Here is a 16,345-nt window from a genome sequence, read left to right as displayed (position 1 = left end):
GAGTATTCCAATCCATGAACATGATAAGCCCTTCCAATTATTTAAGCCTTCTTTGAGTTCTTTCATCAGCATTTCGTAATTTCAGCAAAAATATATGGCACGTTTTGTTTAGTGTATACCTAAGTATTCCATTTTCTTTGAGCAATGTAAATGGGTATTGTGTTTTTAATTTCAGTCTCTGTATGTTTGTTGTTAGAATATATACATGAGATTGATTTTCATGTGTTGGTCATAGATCTCATGTACTTGCTGAATTCATTTATTTGCAGGAAATTTTTTGGTAGATTTCTTGTAATTTCTACATAGACTATTTTCAACTGATATAATCATAAGATATTTCTTATTTAAGCTGTTGACATGGTAGATTACATTGAGTGATTTTCAAATATTAAATCAACCTTGCATACCTGGGATAAGTCCAACTAGGACATGGTAAATAATTCTTTTCATATACTGTTTTATTTAACTTGGTAATATTTTATTGAGGATTTTTGTGTCTATGTGTCTGTGTTTTGTGTCTATGTCTTTTGTGTCTATGTTTTGTGATTTTGTGTCTATTGAGAAATACTGGTCTGTAATTTTTTTTTGTACTGTCTTTATCTGGTTTTGGTATCGGGGTAATACTGGCCACATAAAATGAGTAGATAAGCATTCCTTCATCTTCTGTTTTCTGGAAAAGATTGTGTAAAATTGGTGTCAATTTTTTCTTTAAATATTTGGTAAAATTCTCCAGTAAAACAACTGTCCTGGGGATTTTTTTCAAGAGGATTTTAATTACAAGTTCAATTGCTTTAATGGTTACAGGATTATTCAGGTTATGCACTTCATCTTGTTAGTTTTGGTAGTTTATAGTTTTATAGGAATTGGTTCATTGCTTCCAAGTTGGTGAATTAGAAACAATTTCAAGTTTTTGAATTTTTTGAATAAACTTTGTGGATCTGTCTTTAATTTCATTGTTCTGCCCTGTTATATCCACTCTGTTACTGACCCACCCAGCAAGATTTTAATTCCTATTATTTTATTTTTCCATTCTGTAATTTCTATTTAGTACTTTTTCATAACTTCCATTTCTTTACTGAGATTTTTTGTTTCAAGAGAATTCATAATTGCTTGTTAAAGCAATTTTATGATGGCTGATTTAAAATCCTTGTCAGATAAATTTGATACTTGATTTTTCTTGATTATCGGGATTAGTTTATTGTCTTTTCTCATCCAATTTGTTTTTCCTGGCTCATGGCCTATATTTATGTTTATCCTGGACATTCATTATACAGACCATTTTTAAATGGACATTTAAAATAAAATCTATCATTTTAGCCAAGAATGTCCCTGTTTTGGTTTGGTATGTAGGTTCTGGCCTGTTTCGTAGGCTGTGGTTTCAGATGCATTTAGCTTGCAGAGCTCTTCCCAATGCTATTTTTGGTCTGCTTAGTTCTCCTGACTTGGGAGCTCCTGATACATTCCTGCTGGTGCCACTTGCAAGTTACAGAAAGCACTTCCCTAGGTCACCTGTTATTACTAGTAGGGATGTTAGACACTGGATCTGTAGGATGGAAAGTATTTTCTCTGGCCTCTTATCTCTGCCCACATGATATAGGCAGGTACGGGGAAGAGGATGGGTCACCCATATGGGATTTTGGTACCAATTGATAATAAATGTTGCCTTCAGACAAAATAGAGCAAACATTATTTGGTGTTTTGATACAAAAACTATTTAAGGAACCCAAACAGATTTAGAACCACAATTCCCAAGGTAATACTTCAAATCAGCAATGCAAAATCACTGTGAAATTGTATTGATTGTGTTTGTCCCTGAACTTCTTACTACAGAGTTGTAATTCTTGGAGATTATATTATTTTCCAAATTTGACCAGGATTGATGTCAGGGGTTCACTGACATCACCAGTGCAGGTGCTTCCAGCTGCCACTATGGACACAAGATGTGTTACCCTTTCTGGGATCTACTGATGCCACCACTTATAGGTTAAAGGAACCTACACTGCTTCTAGGTATGGGTCAGGAAAAAGGCTGCCCCCACGTCCCAGTTACTCTCCCCCTTTCCTTGCCCTTCGGCCAGGGAGAGTAGGCTTTTCTCTTTTGTTTTCTTGCTTTTGTTGTTTGTTGATGCCTGTTGTCCATTCCAGGCTGAAGGTCTTCCTGGTGTGCTCTCTAAGATATACGGGAGAGAAAAGAAAATCCTACACATTTGCTGTGGTTCATTTCCTAATTCCTGCCTTCTTCTTTCCACCTTTCAGGGTCTTTTGTGAATGTCTGTTGAATTGTTTCCAGGGTATTTAGCTGTATTTGGAGAGGAGGAAATGGGAAAATTGGGTCTACACCATCTTGTTTGGAACCAGATGTCTAAATATGACCTTTGGTACCAACTGATAACAGTACTTTAAAACTTGAAAATATTCTCACGTAACATTATCTCTGTTGAATCTACTCTGTGATGTAGGTAGAGATTTTGAACTCCCATTTTTCAGATAATTATTTTATAGTCCAAAGGATTTAGGGGTCTGATCTAATAAATATAAATAGAAAATGAGGCTTGGATCCAAGTCATCTGAGTTTAAAATGGATATCAATGTGTGTCCACCATTTAATACCACAAGACGCTTAAACTAGAGACATTAAGGCCTAAAAACATGTTAAGGGAAACTAGATTAAATATTTTTCCTTTAGATGAGTTCATGTTCTTTGCAGGGACATGGATGATGCTGGAAACCATAATTCTCAGCAAACTAACACAAGAACAGAAAACCAAATACCACATATTTGGTTTTCCGCATACCAAATACCAAATCACTCATAAGTGGGAGTTGAACAATGAGAACACATGGACACAGGGAGGGGAACATCACACACCGGGGCCTGTTGGGGGATAGGGAGCTAGGAGAGGGATAGCATTAGGAGAAATACCTAATGTAGATGATGGGTTAATGGGTGCAGCAAACCACCATGACATGTGTCTACCTGTGTAACAAACCTGCACGTTCTGCACGTGTACCCCAGAACTTAAAGTATAATAAAAAAATAAAAATAAAATTTCCTTTAAAACTTTGTATTTAAAACCCATAAGAAAGGAAATATTCTCAAATATTCTCAGTGTTTTCCCTAGGACATCATATCAGTAAATAGGCAGATCAATATAATTTTATAATTATTTTAATTGTCATATAATTTACATGCTTGATATGGTTTTGCTGAGTCCCCACCCAAATCTCACCTTGAATTGTAGTAATCCCCATGTGTCAAGGGCGGGGCCAGGTGGAAATAATTGAGTCATGGGGGCGGTTTCCCCTAAACTGTTCTCCTGGTAGTGAATAAGTCTCATGAGATCTGATGGTTTTATAAATGGGAGTTCCCCTGCACGAGCTTTCTTGCCTGCTGCCATGTAAGACACCCCTTTGCTCTTCCTTCATCTTCTGCCATGATTGTGAGGCCTCCCCAGCCATGTGGAACTGTGAAACAGTTAAACCTCTCTCCTTTATAAATTACCCAGTCTCGGGTATGTCTTTATTAGCAGCGTGAGAACAGACTAATAAAATTCTTAAACTTACAGGGTAAATTTACCTCTCTGAAAGGTATTATAAAATAAGTATTACATTCAGTGTTCTTACAACATTTTAAAAAAGAATTAGCTTCTGTTGTTTTCTATGCCTTCACAATTTTTAAAAATAAATGCTCACTGTAGTCCACATAATGTTGGAACAATCTCTGTAAGTGCTAAATGTGAGTCTCTGTCAATCACACTGCCAGGCATTAAGTGTCCCTCGGTGGTTAGGTTTGCTCAACAATGCAGAAAGCAAAATAGAAAGGTGAAGCACTGATCTGAATATATAAAGTTCTCTCAGAAATGGGAGAAACAGATCCAGATCATCAACCCAAAGCCAAGTAATTGAACATTAACTATGGCTTTTAGTTGGAAAAAAGAAGAGGGGTTTAATTTCAGTTGCTGAAGTGAGACGATCTGATTTCCCTCTCAGTACATGTAATTTTGAGGTTTCCTAAATGCTATGCATCATAAAACAGTGCATTCCAAGGCTGATGATGATTTTTTAAAAAGCATTTTTTTTTTTTTACTAGTGAAGATAAAAAATGAGCACTTATGATACAATTCAGTGCATAATTGTGACCTAACCACCAAGCTTCTCAAAGTGTCTGGAATAATATCGATTGAGTGATGCCAGTCACACAGCTATCCATGTTACTGTTAAAGACCCATATCTACCAGGAATTATCTTTCCAACAGCTTAAGATTTTATGTGCTCTTTGTGGGAACTCCTTGAACATAAAGTTGCCCTCAGACAACAAAGAGCAAACATTATTTTGTGTTTTGATACCTAAACTATGTAAAGAACCTAAATAGATTTAGAACCACAATTCCCAAGGTACTACTTCAAATCAGCAATGCAAAATCAATGTGAAATTGTGTTGATTGTGTTTGTCCCTGAACTTCTTACTACTAAGTTGTAATTCTTGGAGATTATATTATTTTCCATATTTGGCCAACAAAATTAACCCTTGACATTTTTTACTGATTTCCCAGTATTTGTGTTCATTAAGAAATATTTTACTTTCTCCCGCATTATCTTTTCAACTTTTTCTAATTTATATTCTTTCTTTGCCTTCACTTTGGTTTAACTAACCTAAACTTTTCCTTTGAGGCTGATTTACTCTCAACCCCAGCCCAGTGGTTCGAGGCTACAAAAAAGAGTGGCCTTTTCCTTCCAATCTAGTACTTAGTTCTTACATGATATCGTAAGTCATTTTACTCATTTTAATGCAATTTATCTGCAAACAAAATAAGTTGATCTGGTTGTCCATATGACAGACACTTGTTGGATAACCTCTCTGCTTGTAGAATTAAATTATTTGCCATGAAAAATGCAAATGAATACAACTTCTGAACCCAGTTTTCAAAGAGCAGTATAGTGGGGAAGATAGTATGCTAAGCTCCTCAAAAATGAAGAGGAGAGTTTAACAATGATGTGAGGAGTCATCCACCGAACAAGAATGAAATGAAAAACAACTGACTGTGAACCCAGGCATGTTCCGAGAAGACTTGGTGAAAGAGATGGAATTTGAGCAGAATTTTAAAGATGGGCTGGATTTAGAGTCACTCCTAAATGTTCAAGTTCTACTAGATTGCTTCATTTGGTGACCTTCTCTTTTCTCCTCACCCCTTGTCCCTATGTTATTGTTCCCAATCCTGTGGCTTTACTTCCCATCTAGATGCTGATGACTCTCTTTTTCCTTCCAACTCTGATTTATTCCGTCTGCTATTATGAATACATTTAAGTGCTATATTCATTTCTCATTATTCTATTAAGCTTTATTTCTATGATGTTATTATTTCTAGATAATTTCAGTTCACTCCATCTTCTGCTGCTACTCTAGCCAGGTCTGTATTTGTTATATTACCTTTCCTTTCAAGTTCTTTCTATTACTAAACTATATTCTTACCTGTGTTCTTCTAATCTTTATTCTATACTTTTCTCTATGAAATCCTTCATGGAGGAAAATATTTCTTATACTTAATAAAATATGTTCTCTTAAAACTGCCTTTTCCTAAAAGGATGTCACCTTTCACTGCTCACAATAGTTTACTATCCAGCTATTCTTTTACCTTGCTTTCCATATTCAGCATAAATCCATGGTGTATGTGTTTGCATTCAAGATGCTGCATGATTTTTGTATCACTCCATTTAATTTTTTTTCTTGAGAGCAAAGCCAGCTGTTGCTATTGTTTCCTTTATTCCACTCTGATTACTAAAACTGTGTTGTTCCCATTTAAAAAGCATACACACAAGATTCAGATAGTAGCATTCATGGATCTTCCTCAGGGCTGGAATTCAAAAAGGTCCAAACGCCAACTTGGTATGTTGATAGAATATGTATTTGAATCCCAAGTACTGAGGGAACTCCTGATAAGATTATGACCCAAGAAAGGGATAGATGAACAACATAAAACTTGAAGTACCATGATGTGGACTTCCAGGGTTTTTTTTTATTTTACAACAAAAAATAATAGCTTTCCAATAGTTTAAGTGAGTTTTTAGCAAAAACATTAGAGTATTCTCCTTTGAATTGACTTCCCTATGTTTGTGAGAGCACGTTTTAAGTTAATATTTAAAATTAAATATTATTTAAATAATATATACACTATATTTTCTAGAAAAACAAATCTGTTTTATTTGTTTCTCACCTTTATGTGGGGAAGTTTTCATTAACTTCTACAGGTAGAAGATTATGTCTTCATTAGTATATGTATGGGTTGACAATCTCCTGATCTTATTTGTCTATTTGCCATGCAGATTCTACTGGAAACTTTATTTTGTACAGAGAATTTTGCTTCATAGAATTGGAAGCTTGTTTGAGGTTTATTTAAAATGTATAGATCTCACTCTGAATTTTGAAAGTGTACTGCCTTTTGCTTTGTCCACCTATAGGGCTTGGCAATCCTCAATCACTATTATATTTAATTTGTTATAATCCTAGTACCTAGAGTTGTGTCATATTAGCTCTTTGTGCAGCATGGTTTTGAAATTACCTTTCCCAACCAGTTTGAAATTCAGCTTGTGGGTTTTCTTGGGAGCATAGCCGAATGAAAATCCCATCTCCTAAGCTGATGCACTATCACATAGATTCCTTTTTCACTGTCTTTACACAACTTGCAACTTACCAGATACCTGATTCTGTAAAGCCAACAGTTTCCTTTACACGATTTGTAGACAGGAAGCCCAACTTGCATATAAATAGAGATATACGTGATAATTTTTTTCTCAAATAAGATAGTGTTCCCATTGGTTTAATCTTATAGTCATATCAGCATATGGGATAGTGTCTGAGAAAGCCTTTGTAAACTGTAAAGCCTAAAACACACCGGTTAATGTTGTTATTGTGGGGCTGCAGGGTATGTAACCTGATATATGTCAGAGACTGTTCTCTGGTGATGACAGGGGCACAGATGGTAACGAAAACCCAAAGCATTGAGTTAGGGGAGGTTGTAGCTGTTTCATGGCTAGTTCACTTTTTATAGGTATCTGACCAGAGAAGTCGTTTAAGATTTGTCCTCACTCTCCTTTTTCCCTAGCTTATTCCCTCCCACTTTTGGGCTTTTTCATTTGGTCTGTGTCTGACTTAGAGCTTTCTATGAGTGAGTTTATTTGGAATGAGGAAGGCTGAAGAGGTGTTGTGTTTAGATCTCCAGAAGGAAACCACTGCATCCTTGTATAACTGCATAAGGGAAGAAATATGTGTGTATGTATGTCAGGTGTGTCTGTGTATTATACATCATTGGGCATGATGAAAAAGTGTGCATGGTAAATGCACCTGGATCAATTAGGAAGGACTTCATTTAGAAGATGGATGTTTGCACTGAGTTTTACAGGGCTGAAGAAGTACGTCATACCAGAGAGAGAGAAAGAAACTTGTTTTACATGTGGATTTACTTGGAGGAAGGTTATAGATGGGAGAGAACAGTAGATTTTTATGACTAAAGCTGAGGTTGAAGCAAGTGTATTGTCATATGTAAATATAAAAATAGATGAGCATAGTGAAGATGAAAGGCAGAAATGTTACAAAGTTGTAGGAGAACAGAGGCAAACACTTGTGTGCCATCAAAAAAATCTGTAGATTCAATTTATTATCCTACATATGATGGTCTTAAGCTATGGAAAATGTAGTCCTGGGCCCCAGCCAAGAAGCTTGCAGGTCAGTTGAAAAATAGCTAAGTAATGGGATCAGATGGTAGCAATCCAGAAACACTTTGAGTCACTTTATGGGCTCTGTGATCTTGTGGCTCAGTTGCTTTTGTGGGTATCTGTTGTTCACAAAACATTTTTTTTCTAAAGCACTTTCACAGATGTCAATTGTTATCTTAATGAGCACTTTGTGAAATAATAAAAATTAATATTCACATTTAAGAGATCACGGCTCTGAGAGGTATAATAATTTCCCCCAAACTAATTGCTGATAGAACTGCAATTAGAATCCTTCCCTTGTGGTTCCTCAGTTGGTGACCTTTCCCCTATACTACCTCGCCACTAGGCATGCAGCAGAGCCCAGGGATAGACAACCATCAGGAGTCCCTAGAATTTATAATGCTCACCAGCTTCCTCTCCTAGAAGATACCCAAGCATCAGTACCACTATAGCTATCATAAGCAGAAACTGAAAACACAAACAACAGCATATGTTTAGGATGATGCACTTAGCATTATTGTGCAACTTGGGAATTCATGCTTAGAGGAATGCTTGAGTGCTCTCCCAACATTCCACTGGGTTTATAACATCACTTTAAGAGGAATGATATTGCAGTTACCATTTGCTAGTATCATTCAGAGCACATGTTACCTGCCATTCTTAGAAATACAGTATTCCCTAAAGAATGGTAAAAAGTGTCTTCAACTTATTAAATGCTTAGCTTTCTTCAAGGGCAATGTGCAATCCTTAAATTTTTTTCTTATTATTAAAAAAGATGTTCATTGGCTCCTTTACTGCCTTGGGGAAAACAGAGTGTAACTTTCTTGATCTAGTAAATATTATCAAGTGCTTCTAGGTTATTAATATTTATTGTCTACATTTGTTTTATCTTGAAAGTTGTTGACTTCTATTCAAAGGATGTTTTCCTTTTGTGTATGGTATATGTATATAAATTTGCAGGCAAATCCAGCAAAGAAATGACTATTTTTTAAACTAAATGTGAGATAGCAGTTTTAAGACATTAATACAGATTGGAAAAATAAAGTTTTACATGACAGCAAATTCATAATAGCAGCAAAAATTTGTGATGCAACATTTAAAAGGATAAGAGATGATCATCTGCAAACCTAGTTTATGTAAACACTTGATACTATCCAGAGAGTGCTCAGCCATGTGACTACAGAGAGGAAACCAAGATAGTCCGTAAGAACATAGGCTCTGGAGCCACACTGCTTGGATTCAGATCCTGGTTTTGCCATTTACTGGCTGTGTGAACTTGCCACTTACTGAGTGTGTGAACTTGTTCTGTAATTCCCCTTACTTTTTTTTTTTTGAGATGGAGTCTTGCTCTGTTGCCCAGGCTGGAGTGCAGTGGTGCAATCTAGGCTCACTGCAACCTCCATCTCCTGAGTTCAAGTGATTCTCCTGCCTCAGCCTCCTGAGTAGCTGGGATTACAAGTGCACACCACCATACCTGGCTAATTTTTGTATTTTTAGTAGACACGGGGTTTCACTATGCTGGCCAGGCTGGTCTCGAACTCCTGACCTCATTGATTCACCCACCTCGTTCTCCCAAATGGCTGAGATTACAGGCATGAGCCACAAGCCCAGCCCCTCCTACTATTATTAAGTAAACTGTATCATTTAACTTTTAACTGTTTTTCTTTAGACTCCGATATGGAAGAAAATACTTTGAAATATACATAGAAGTATGTCTAATCATAAATAAAATCCCCAGAGGTGATTCAATACATTCTTGCTCTCTACTTCATCACTAGTTTTATGTTACTGTATTTAATATTAATAGTTACCATGTATTGAGTAATTTGTGGGTGCTAAGAGTATTACATATATTGTCTCCTTTAATCTCCACAACAGCCCAGTGCTATCACTGTTTAACAGGGAAATAAACTTTTGATCAGTTAATTATTCTAGGAAAGAAGGCATTGAAAATTAAATCTAAGAAAATATAGCTCCATTCACATCAGACTTTTCTTCTCATGTCTCACTCCACTTTAATTGTCTTTGATAGTAGTACTGAAACAGCATGATAAATTTCCTCTTATAAAAGATCAACAGATGGTATCATCCTATGTATGGTCTTCTTAATGGAATAGAACTGATAAGCATAATTCACCTTTTAAAAAATATTCACTTCTAACACAATATAATTGGCACTCTAGCTTACTTTGGCCATGAGAAACATACATAAAACAATATAAATGTTTCATTCTTAGGCAAGAACAAGATATGTGTGGACTTGTGAAGTCATTTTGGTCAACCACTAAAATTTACTCCTGCCACTAATGGCTTACCTCAAAGGCACGTTAACATATATTTTATGTTAATTTCACATATCCTGAGCTTGACAGTAAAGCTAACCTTATTGTAAAGTATTTTATCTCATTGAAATGACAGCTTTATGTCTTAGTTACATGATGTCCATATAACAGACCCATTGTGCTCAGCCAATAGATTGGAATTTTCTTTTCATTTCAAAATTTGCTCACATAAGCATTGAAAAATTATCACTTCTCTATGTTTCTATTTTCTGTGGAAGCAATAATTTTAGTGACTGGCCCAAATTACTTTATAAGCCCATGTATACTGTGTAGCATCCTAAAAGTGGAAAATTCATGTTGTTTTTTGATCACTGCATGCCCAAAAATGATCTACAGCATTAATTATGTTACATCAGAAGGAAATGGTGAACGAAAAAGGTGAATTATATTAGCTTTACTCCATTAAGAATAAAAACATACAGGATCTTTTAAACATCTTTCAACAGTCAGTCATTCATAATCCCCACCACTAAATAAAGGAGAAACAATGCATTGTTTCATATTAAAATGTTCCAACCAATTTGTCATTATCACTTATGTCCCAATTTCCTGTTATTTTCATTTTAAGTTAAACAGTGCTGGTTAAACATAGTTTCCATTGTTAATGGGTGGCCTGGATATAAATGACAGATTCCACAGTGGTCAGAACAAAAGGTACAAAATGTAGCATATTACTTACAAAGATAGTGACAATATCTCTAAGTTCAGTTGTGTTTGGGTCAACAGTTATTTCTCCACCAGTGTCATGCTAGGCACTGTGCTAGAGACTTGGGTGTGAAAAATGAGAAATGATCCTTAAGGTGGTTTTTCAACTTGACAGTGAGAAAGATGCATGACTGGAGTCTTTCAAAGAAAATGCAGGGGCTGATTTCCACAGCAGGCTTAGGGAACACAGAGGAGGAAGACTGCATGTGTCTACGGCATTTAGCGAAGCCACATTTTATATATTCTGCATGAGATTTATTGACTATTCCTTGGTTTAAAAGCACCGTGCTAGGCACTGGGTAGACATGGAAGAAAAACATGCACGCAAAAATAAAGAAAGGATTTCCTTTCGTTTTATTATCCCATCCTGCGATGATTACAGGAAAGATGAGGGGAAGGAAAATCAGGAGTATTTGAGAGTGGGCTGAGATCCAGTATTCTCAGGATTCTAAATTGGAATATCAGGAATCTCATCCCAGAGGTAAAGTTAATATAATGCAGTTTTTCCCACATAAGGCCAAAATAGTAGGCTCCAGACCTGCACTACTATTCAAGGTAGTCTGCCTCTAAAAAGATAATTGGGAGAAACAAAATTAACTATTTCATAAAGAGAAGTCTTCAAATTTGCATGTGGCATAACCAGTCTTTTTTTTTACCTGGGCTAATCCCAAAGAGAGAAAAGCAATACTGTCTCATTAGTATGGACTAAGGATAGCTTTTCACTTAGGCGACTTTGTGTACAGTTGTGTAGCACATGTTCTTCAATTCTTCTTGACTAAAGAAACATGATGTTAAGTGGAGGTTATTTCATATGGCACAGCATCAAGGACCTTGTCTCATCTTTGAGACTCTCTCTGCTCTCTAGAGTTTAGGAAGGTGTCCACACAGAATAAGTAAATAAAAATAAAATGATGCAGTGCTTTACTTCCCATTTGCTCCATATGGCTAATGATTCTAGTTCTAGGCTATTTCATGAATAGTAGTCAGTTACGTTAGCCTATGCAAGTCTTAATTTATTTTCATATGGAAATTAATAATGATGTGCTTAGTTTACAGAGAGTATACATATTTGTGTAAGGTGTCAAATGGATATATATCATAAACTGTATTTAAACTTGTTTTCTGAGAATATGAAGTTCCCCAGACGATTGAGAATAAATGTTAATTTGGTCACTGGTTTATTGTTTATTTAACATTGACTTATTTGAAACAGAAGGATTGTTTAGGCAAGGAATGTTGTTGAATCATTGCTTCCTTAAATCTGAACATGGTACCTGAAATTCCTCTCGTAACTGTTGACCATGATCCTGCCCACCCGTGTGTGATTTTGCTATTATTAACCTTCTGACTTGGCTAAACTTGTGTCACCTCTGCCAGACTCCTACCTCAATCAGATTTATTAGCTGCAAGCAGCACCACCTTATCCATCAAGTCTGTCACAAAGAATAGTAGCCAAGATATCAGAGGCGTCCTTTGCTTTTAACCTCCCAATTGTGGTTTGGCAACCAGTAGCTATATATTTCCATGGACATGATTTTTTTCTATGAAAAAGCAAAGCCAATTATATTAAATAACTTAGAGAAAATTATAACTTGAAACCAATTTAAAAAAATAATATTCTAATTGTGCAATATAGTTGAAATGATTTTTCAGTGGCTTGAAACAGACATTGTGAAATAATTTTATAACATGCAGATCCCTATGTAAAAGCAAGAATGACAGCCATAAGACTTTATATACATATATAATATATAAGCATATGTATAATTTATATTTGATATACACACATAGAATAATTTGAATGCCTTAAGTTGTCACATGCCCTACCACTCCCTAATCTCATACAGCCAACATATGTCACGCATTTATATTGTCTGCCTGGACTAGTTAGTAGCCACTGGAGTTTGCATCCCCTGAGAAAGAAAAGTGATAGTCAAGGGAACCATTATTTCTCTACTATGTGTCAGGTTATGTTATAGAATCTTTCCATATATTATCTTACTTAAACCTGATAAAACTATGTGAGGCAGGAATTATAATTGTCATTTTACAAATAAGAAAATTAGTCTCTGCAAATTTAGTAAACTAGCCCAAAGTTGCACTAAGTAAAAGTCAAACCAAAGTTTGTTTTGTTTTGTTTTTCTAGGTTGTTTGAATAGGTAAGTTGTTAATGGCCCAAAATGATAAGCAGTGAAAACTTTTCCCTCCACTTCTGTCCCTCTGCTACCCAGAATATTTCTCCAGAAATATCCAGATTTATTGGTTTCTCATATAGTATTCTAGAGATATGTTTTTTGCATAAAAAAGCAAAAGAAAGATATCTTGTGACAATTTATATAGACCTTTTTTTAAATTTTGTTTTTAAATAGCTATGCAGTTTTCCTTATGAGATTTTCACATACTTTCTTTGTCTATTTAGGTTTCTCCTAATGTTCTGCTATTAAAAATGTTATTATAGTAAACAACCTAGTACGTAAGTCATTTCACACATATATAAGAATTCAACTTGTTTTTTCAAATATCAGCTCAGTTATCTTAGTACTTTTCCTTTCTAATATGAGGTGTTGCTTTTATCTCACACCAAATTGCATTTTATATTGACAAATTCAACTCTTTCTTATCTATGTTTTATCTAGTATATCACTCTGCCAATAATACCCTCTAAGTATATTGTTGGAGCTTTCTAGATCTCTTTTAATTTCAGTTCTGACTTACATTTCTCAGCTCCCACTAGTTTAACTCCCAGTACTACTGATAGTTTTTTGTTTTAATTAAACTCTCTTTTTCTTGGCAAAATGTCTGAAGCATATCAATTAGCCAATTAGTTCTGATCAGTGAAGTATCTCCTTGCCTCTGTTTTCACCAGGGACAGCCATGCCCACAAAGGGGCATCTCTTAGGATTACAGGGGCCAAGGCATAGCTGTTTATCCTTAGGGGCTGATTCCTTAAGGTTATTTTGAGGATTAAGTTAGTTAATAGATGTAAAATTTAACGAATGTAAACTAGCATGGGCAAAGCACTCCAAATGTGACAGAGAACCAGCATATCACAGTGAATAAGCATGCAGTCTCTGAGCCATGAGCCTGGGTTTGCATCTCCTCGCTGTCCCTTACTAGTTATATAAACTTTGGCAGATTTCTTGACTTCATTGTGCCTCAGTTTCCTCAACTGTAAATTGAATACTTATAGTGCCTACCACTAGGAACGCCACTTGCTTATTCTGTGCTTTTGTGTGAATTTGGGAAAAGTATATCACCGGGACAGATACCCATTAATTTTACTACCTAAAGGTATCTTGATGCAAAGAAAGAGTCCCAGGCAAGGTCACAGAACAGGATGCAGTGAGTGAGGGCTGGATTTCTGCCCCATCCCACTCTCTGCCGAGTGCCTTTCAACAAGCAGCCCAGTCACGCAACCCTATGCCATGATCTTGTCTACACTGTAGGATTATCCTGTCTATTAAATGAGTTAATACCTGCAGAACACTTAGAACCACCCCACCACGTAGTATGCCCTCAGTAAGTACCAGCAATTTTCCTGCCTATACCTTTTCACAGTTTACTTTCCAGCCAGGTTTCCCTACAGCAGCACCATTTAAAACTGTCATTTTAAAGCACAAAAGGCAAGTAGAGAGCTTTTTCTAACACCTCTTTTGGCAGCCACCACCTATTTTAGTTATTTATAAAACAATTTATCTCTGATATATTCAAAATAACACACTTAAATTAGGCGCATGCAAACACATAAATCCTCACAAACAGTTTTTTCTCCTTTGGGACAAATTTGAATGGACGCAATCACTGATTTTAAAATACCTCCTGCATTCCCAGCTTGTGTTCACACCTGTGCCCAAGTGAGGCACTTCCAGTGCAAAGTGGAATGGGACACAGAATCTGTCCTCTTTCTAGAGAAATAAAATCAGTGATTACAGTTCACTGTGCTCCGTGTTAGGCTGAGTGGAAAGGGAGCACAAAGTAGGGGCTGAGCAAATAGCAGATCGGAAAAGGGGCTCAATAAGGTATGATGCTGGAGTTGTTCCTAAGGGTAAGAAAGCAGTCAGGAAAATGGAATTTCATGCAAATTGAGGGCAAAGTGGCTTAACAAATTCCATTTCACTGTGATGCAGGCCCTGATTAGCAAGGAGGATGTTAAGAGCAAGTGGTTGAAGCCGGATTGGAGTGGTCCATGAAAGAGGTCAGGATAATATTTAGAAGTGTGTCCTATAGGTAAGACAGCCCCTTTTAAATGATTGGTGCTGAACATTCATCTATCCCAAACTGTATTTTCCTGTCTTGCTTTACGGCCGAAGTGCATAGACTAAGTTAAAGCAGAGAAATGATGGCAATAGTCTACTCAGGAGATGAGAACCTAAAGTAAGAGGTATTCTGAAAGAGGAAGGGATTTGGTTTACGGATTTGACTGGATGATGATGGAGCTAGCTAATATTTTAACCCTGAAAGTTAAGCAGAGAAATCATAGCCATGGAATAACATACATTTTTCTTTCATTTTCTGCCTCCCATTTAGAGCCTCTTTCATAGAGTTATTCCATTTCTTTTTCAGAAAAGAAACTATTTATCAGGTCCTCATGGTCTGGAAGAAACCTCAGATTTGCTAGTTTTGGGCAAAATAACTTAAAGGTATATCTTTCTGTGATAATCTACATCTTTTCATAATTACATCCTTATCCATGCCATATGGGACACCTAAAATTTCTGAAACAGCAACTTCTCCAGAGAATAGCCTAAGGATTTCTCATAATGAAATGCACGTGTTAATAGTACATGGCTTGATAAACCCTATTGTGCAAGGTAAACCTCATGCTCTCTAGTAAGGAACATGCCAAAAGTCCTCTATCTAGACATAGTCTCTATGTGCCCATTGCTATTCTGTAATACCAGTGTCTATAATTTAAGATTCATATGCTAGGAACCCTGCCCTGGTTTATGATGACTTTGAATGACCTACCTACAGACACCTGCTCATATCAGTACAAACTGGGTTAGCTCACTAATGCCATATGTGTGTGTATGTGAAGCCCAGATTCACTGAATTTAATGAATTAACGCTGAGGACACAGAAAACTTTTTTTGTTGTTTTGTGAGTTTTTTTGCCTGATAAATTATTTGTATTTTCCCCAGGTTAACTATAGTTATTTTGCATATGTCATAATAGGTAACTTTTTCAATTCGTATTCTGAAATAATATGAGGAAAACTGATTATAGAAGCATAGTTATAATACGCACTATGATAGTATTATTGAATTTATAAACTCATTCCTGAGGGTTGATAGCAATGGTATTAATATTCTTAGACTAAAACACACATGCTTGCCTTTAGCTCATCATCAAGCATTTCTTAAAGCTGAATAATGGTATGGGAATTTGAAAAGTTCAAGTACCATCCAGAATGACTGACTATCCCTGCTTAACGAAATACATTTTTTGCATGTATTTGTTGTAAAAAAAAAAAAAAATCAGGTTCTTATTTTGTAAAAAAAGTATTTGACCTAGGATTTAAAAACACAAGCTATGTACTTTATGTGGGTCATTAATATGTAGAATAACTTTTTTCTAAAATCTGGCCTG

The 16,345-nt window shown here is 35.9% G+C and overlaps 1 protein-coding gene across 15 annotated transcripts in view, besides 2 other annotated features; it reads left to right on the top strand.

Annotated features, from left to right (window-relative positions):
• Positions 1 to 16,345, top strand: part of MAGI2 (membrane associated guanylate kinase, WW and PDZ domain containing 2) — a 1,436,613-nt gene that overhangs the window by 972,701 nt on the left and 447,567 nt on the right. The gene's annotated exons all lie outside the window — the stretch shown is intronic.
• Positions 14,347 to 14,847: an enhancer, noted in NCBI's record as "H3K4me1 hESC enhancer chr7:78095437-78095937 (GRCh37/hg19 assembly coordinates)". NCBI's record gives its function as "activates a minimal SCP1, AML or CMV promoter by ChIP-STARR-seq in primed H9 embryonic stem cells {active_cell/tissue: H9 hESC(primed)}" and the evidence as "EXISTENCE:reporter gene assay evidence [ECO:0000049][PMID:30033119]".
• Positions 14,848 to 15,348: an enhancer, noted in NCBI's record as "H3K4me1 hESC enhancer chr7:78094936-78095436 (GRCh37/hg19 assembly coordinates)". NCBI's record gives its function as "activates a minimal SCP1, AML or CMV promoter by ChIP-STARR-seq in primed H9 embryonic stem cells {active_cell/tissue: H9 hESC(primed)}" and the evidence as "EXISTENCE:reporter gene assay evidence [ECO:0000049][PMID:30033119]".

The sequence above is a fragment of the Homo sapiens genome, chromosome 7 (assembly GCF_000001405.40).
Source record: "Homo sapiens chromosome 7, GRCh38.p14 Primary Assembly".
Classification (NCBI taxonomy): domain Eukaryota; kingdom Metazoa; phylum Chordata; class Mammalia; order Primates; family Hominidae; genus Homo; species Homo sapiens.
The sequence above is the reverse complement of the archived record's forward strand: the minus strand, read 5'-3'. Positions and strand labels throughout refer to the sequence as shown.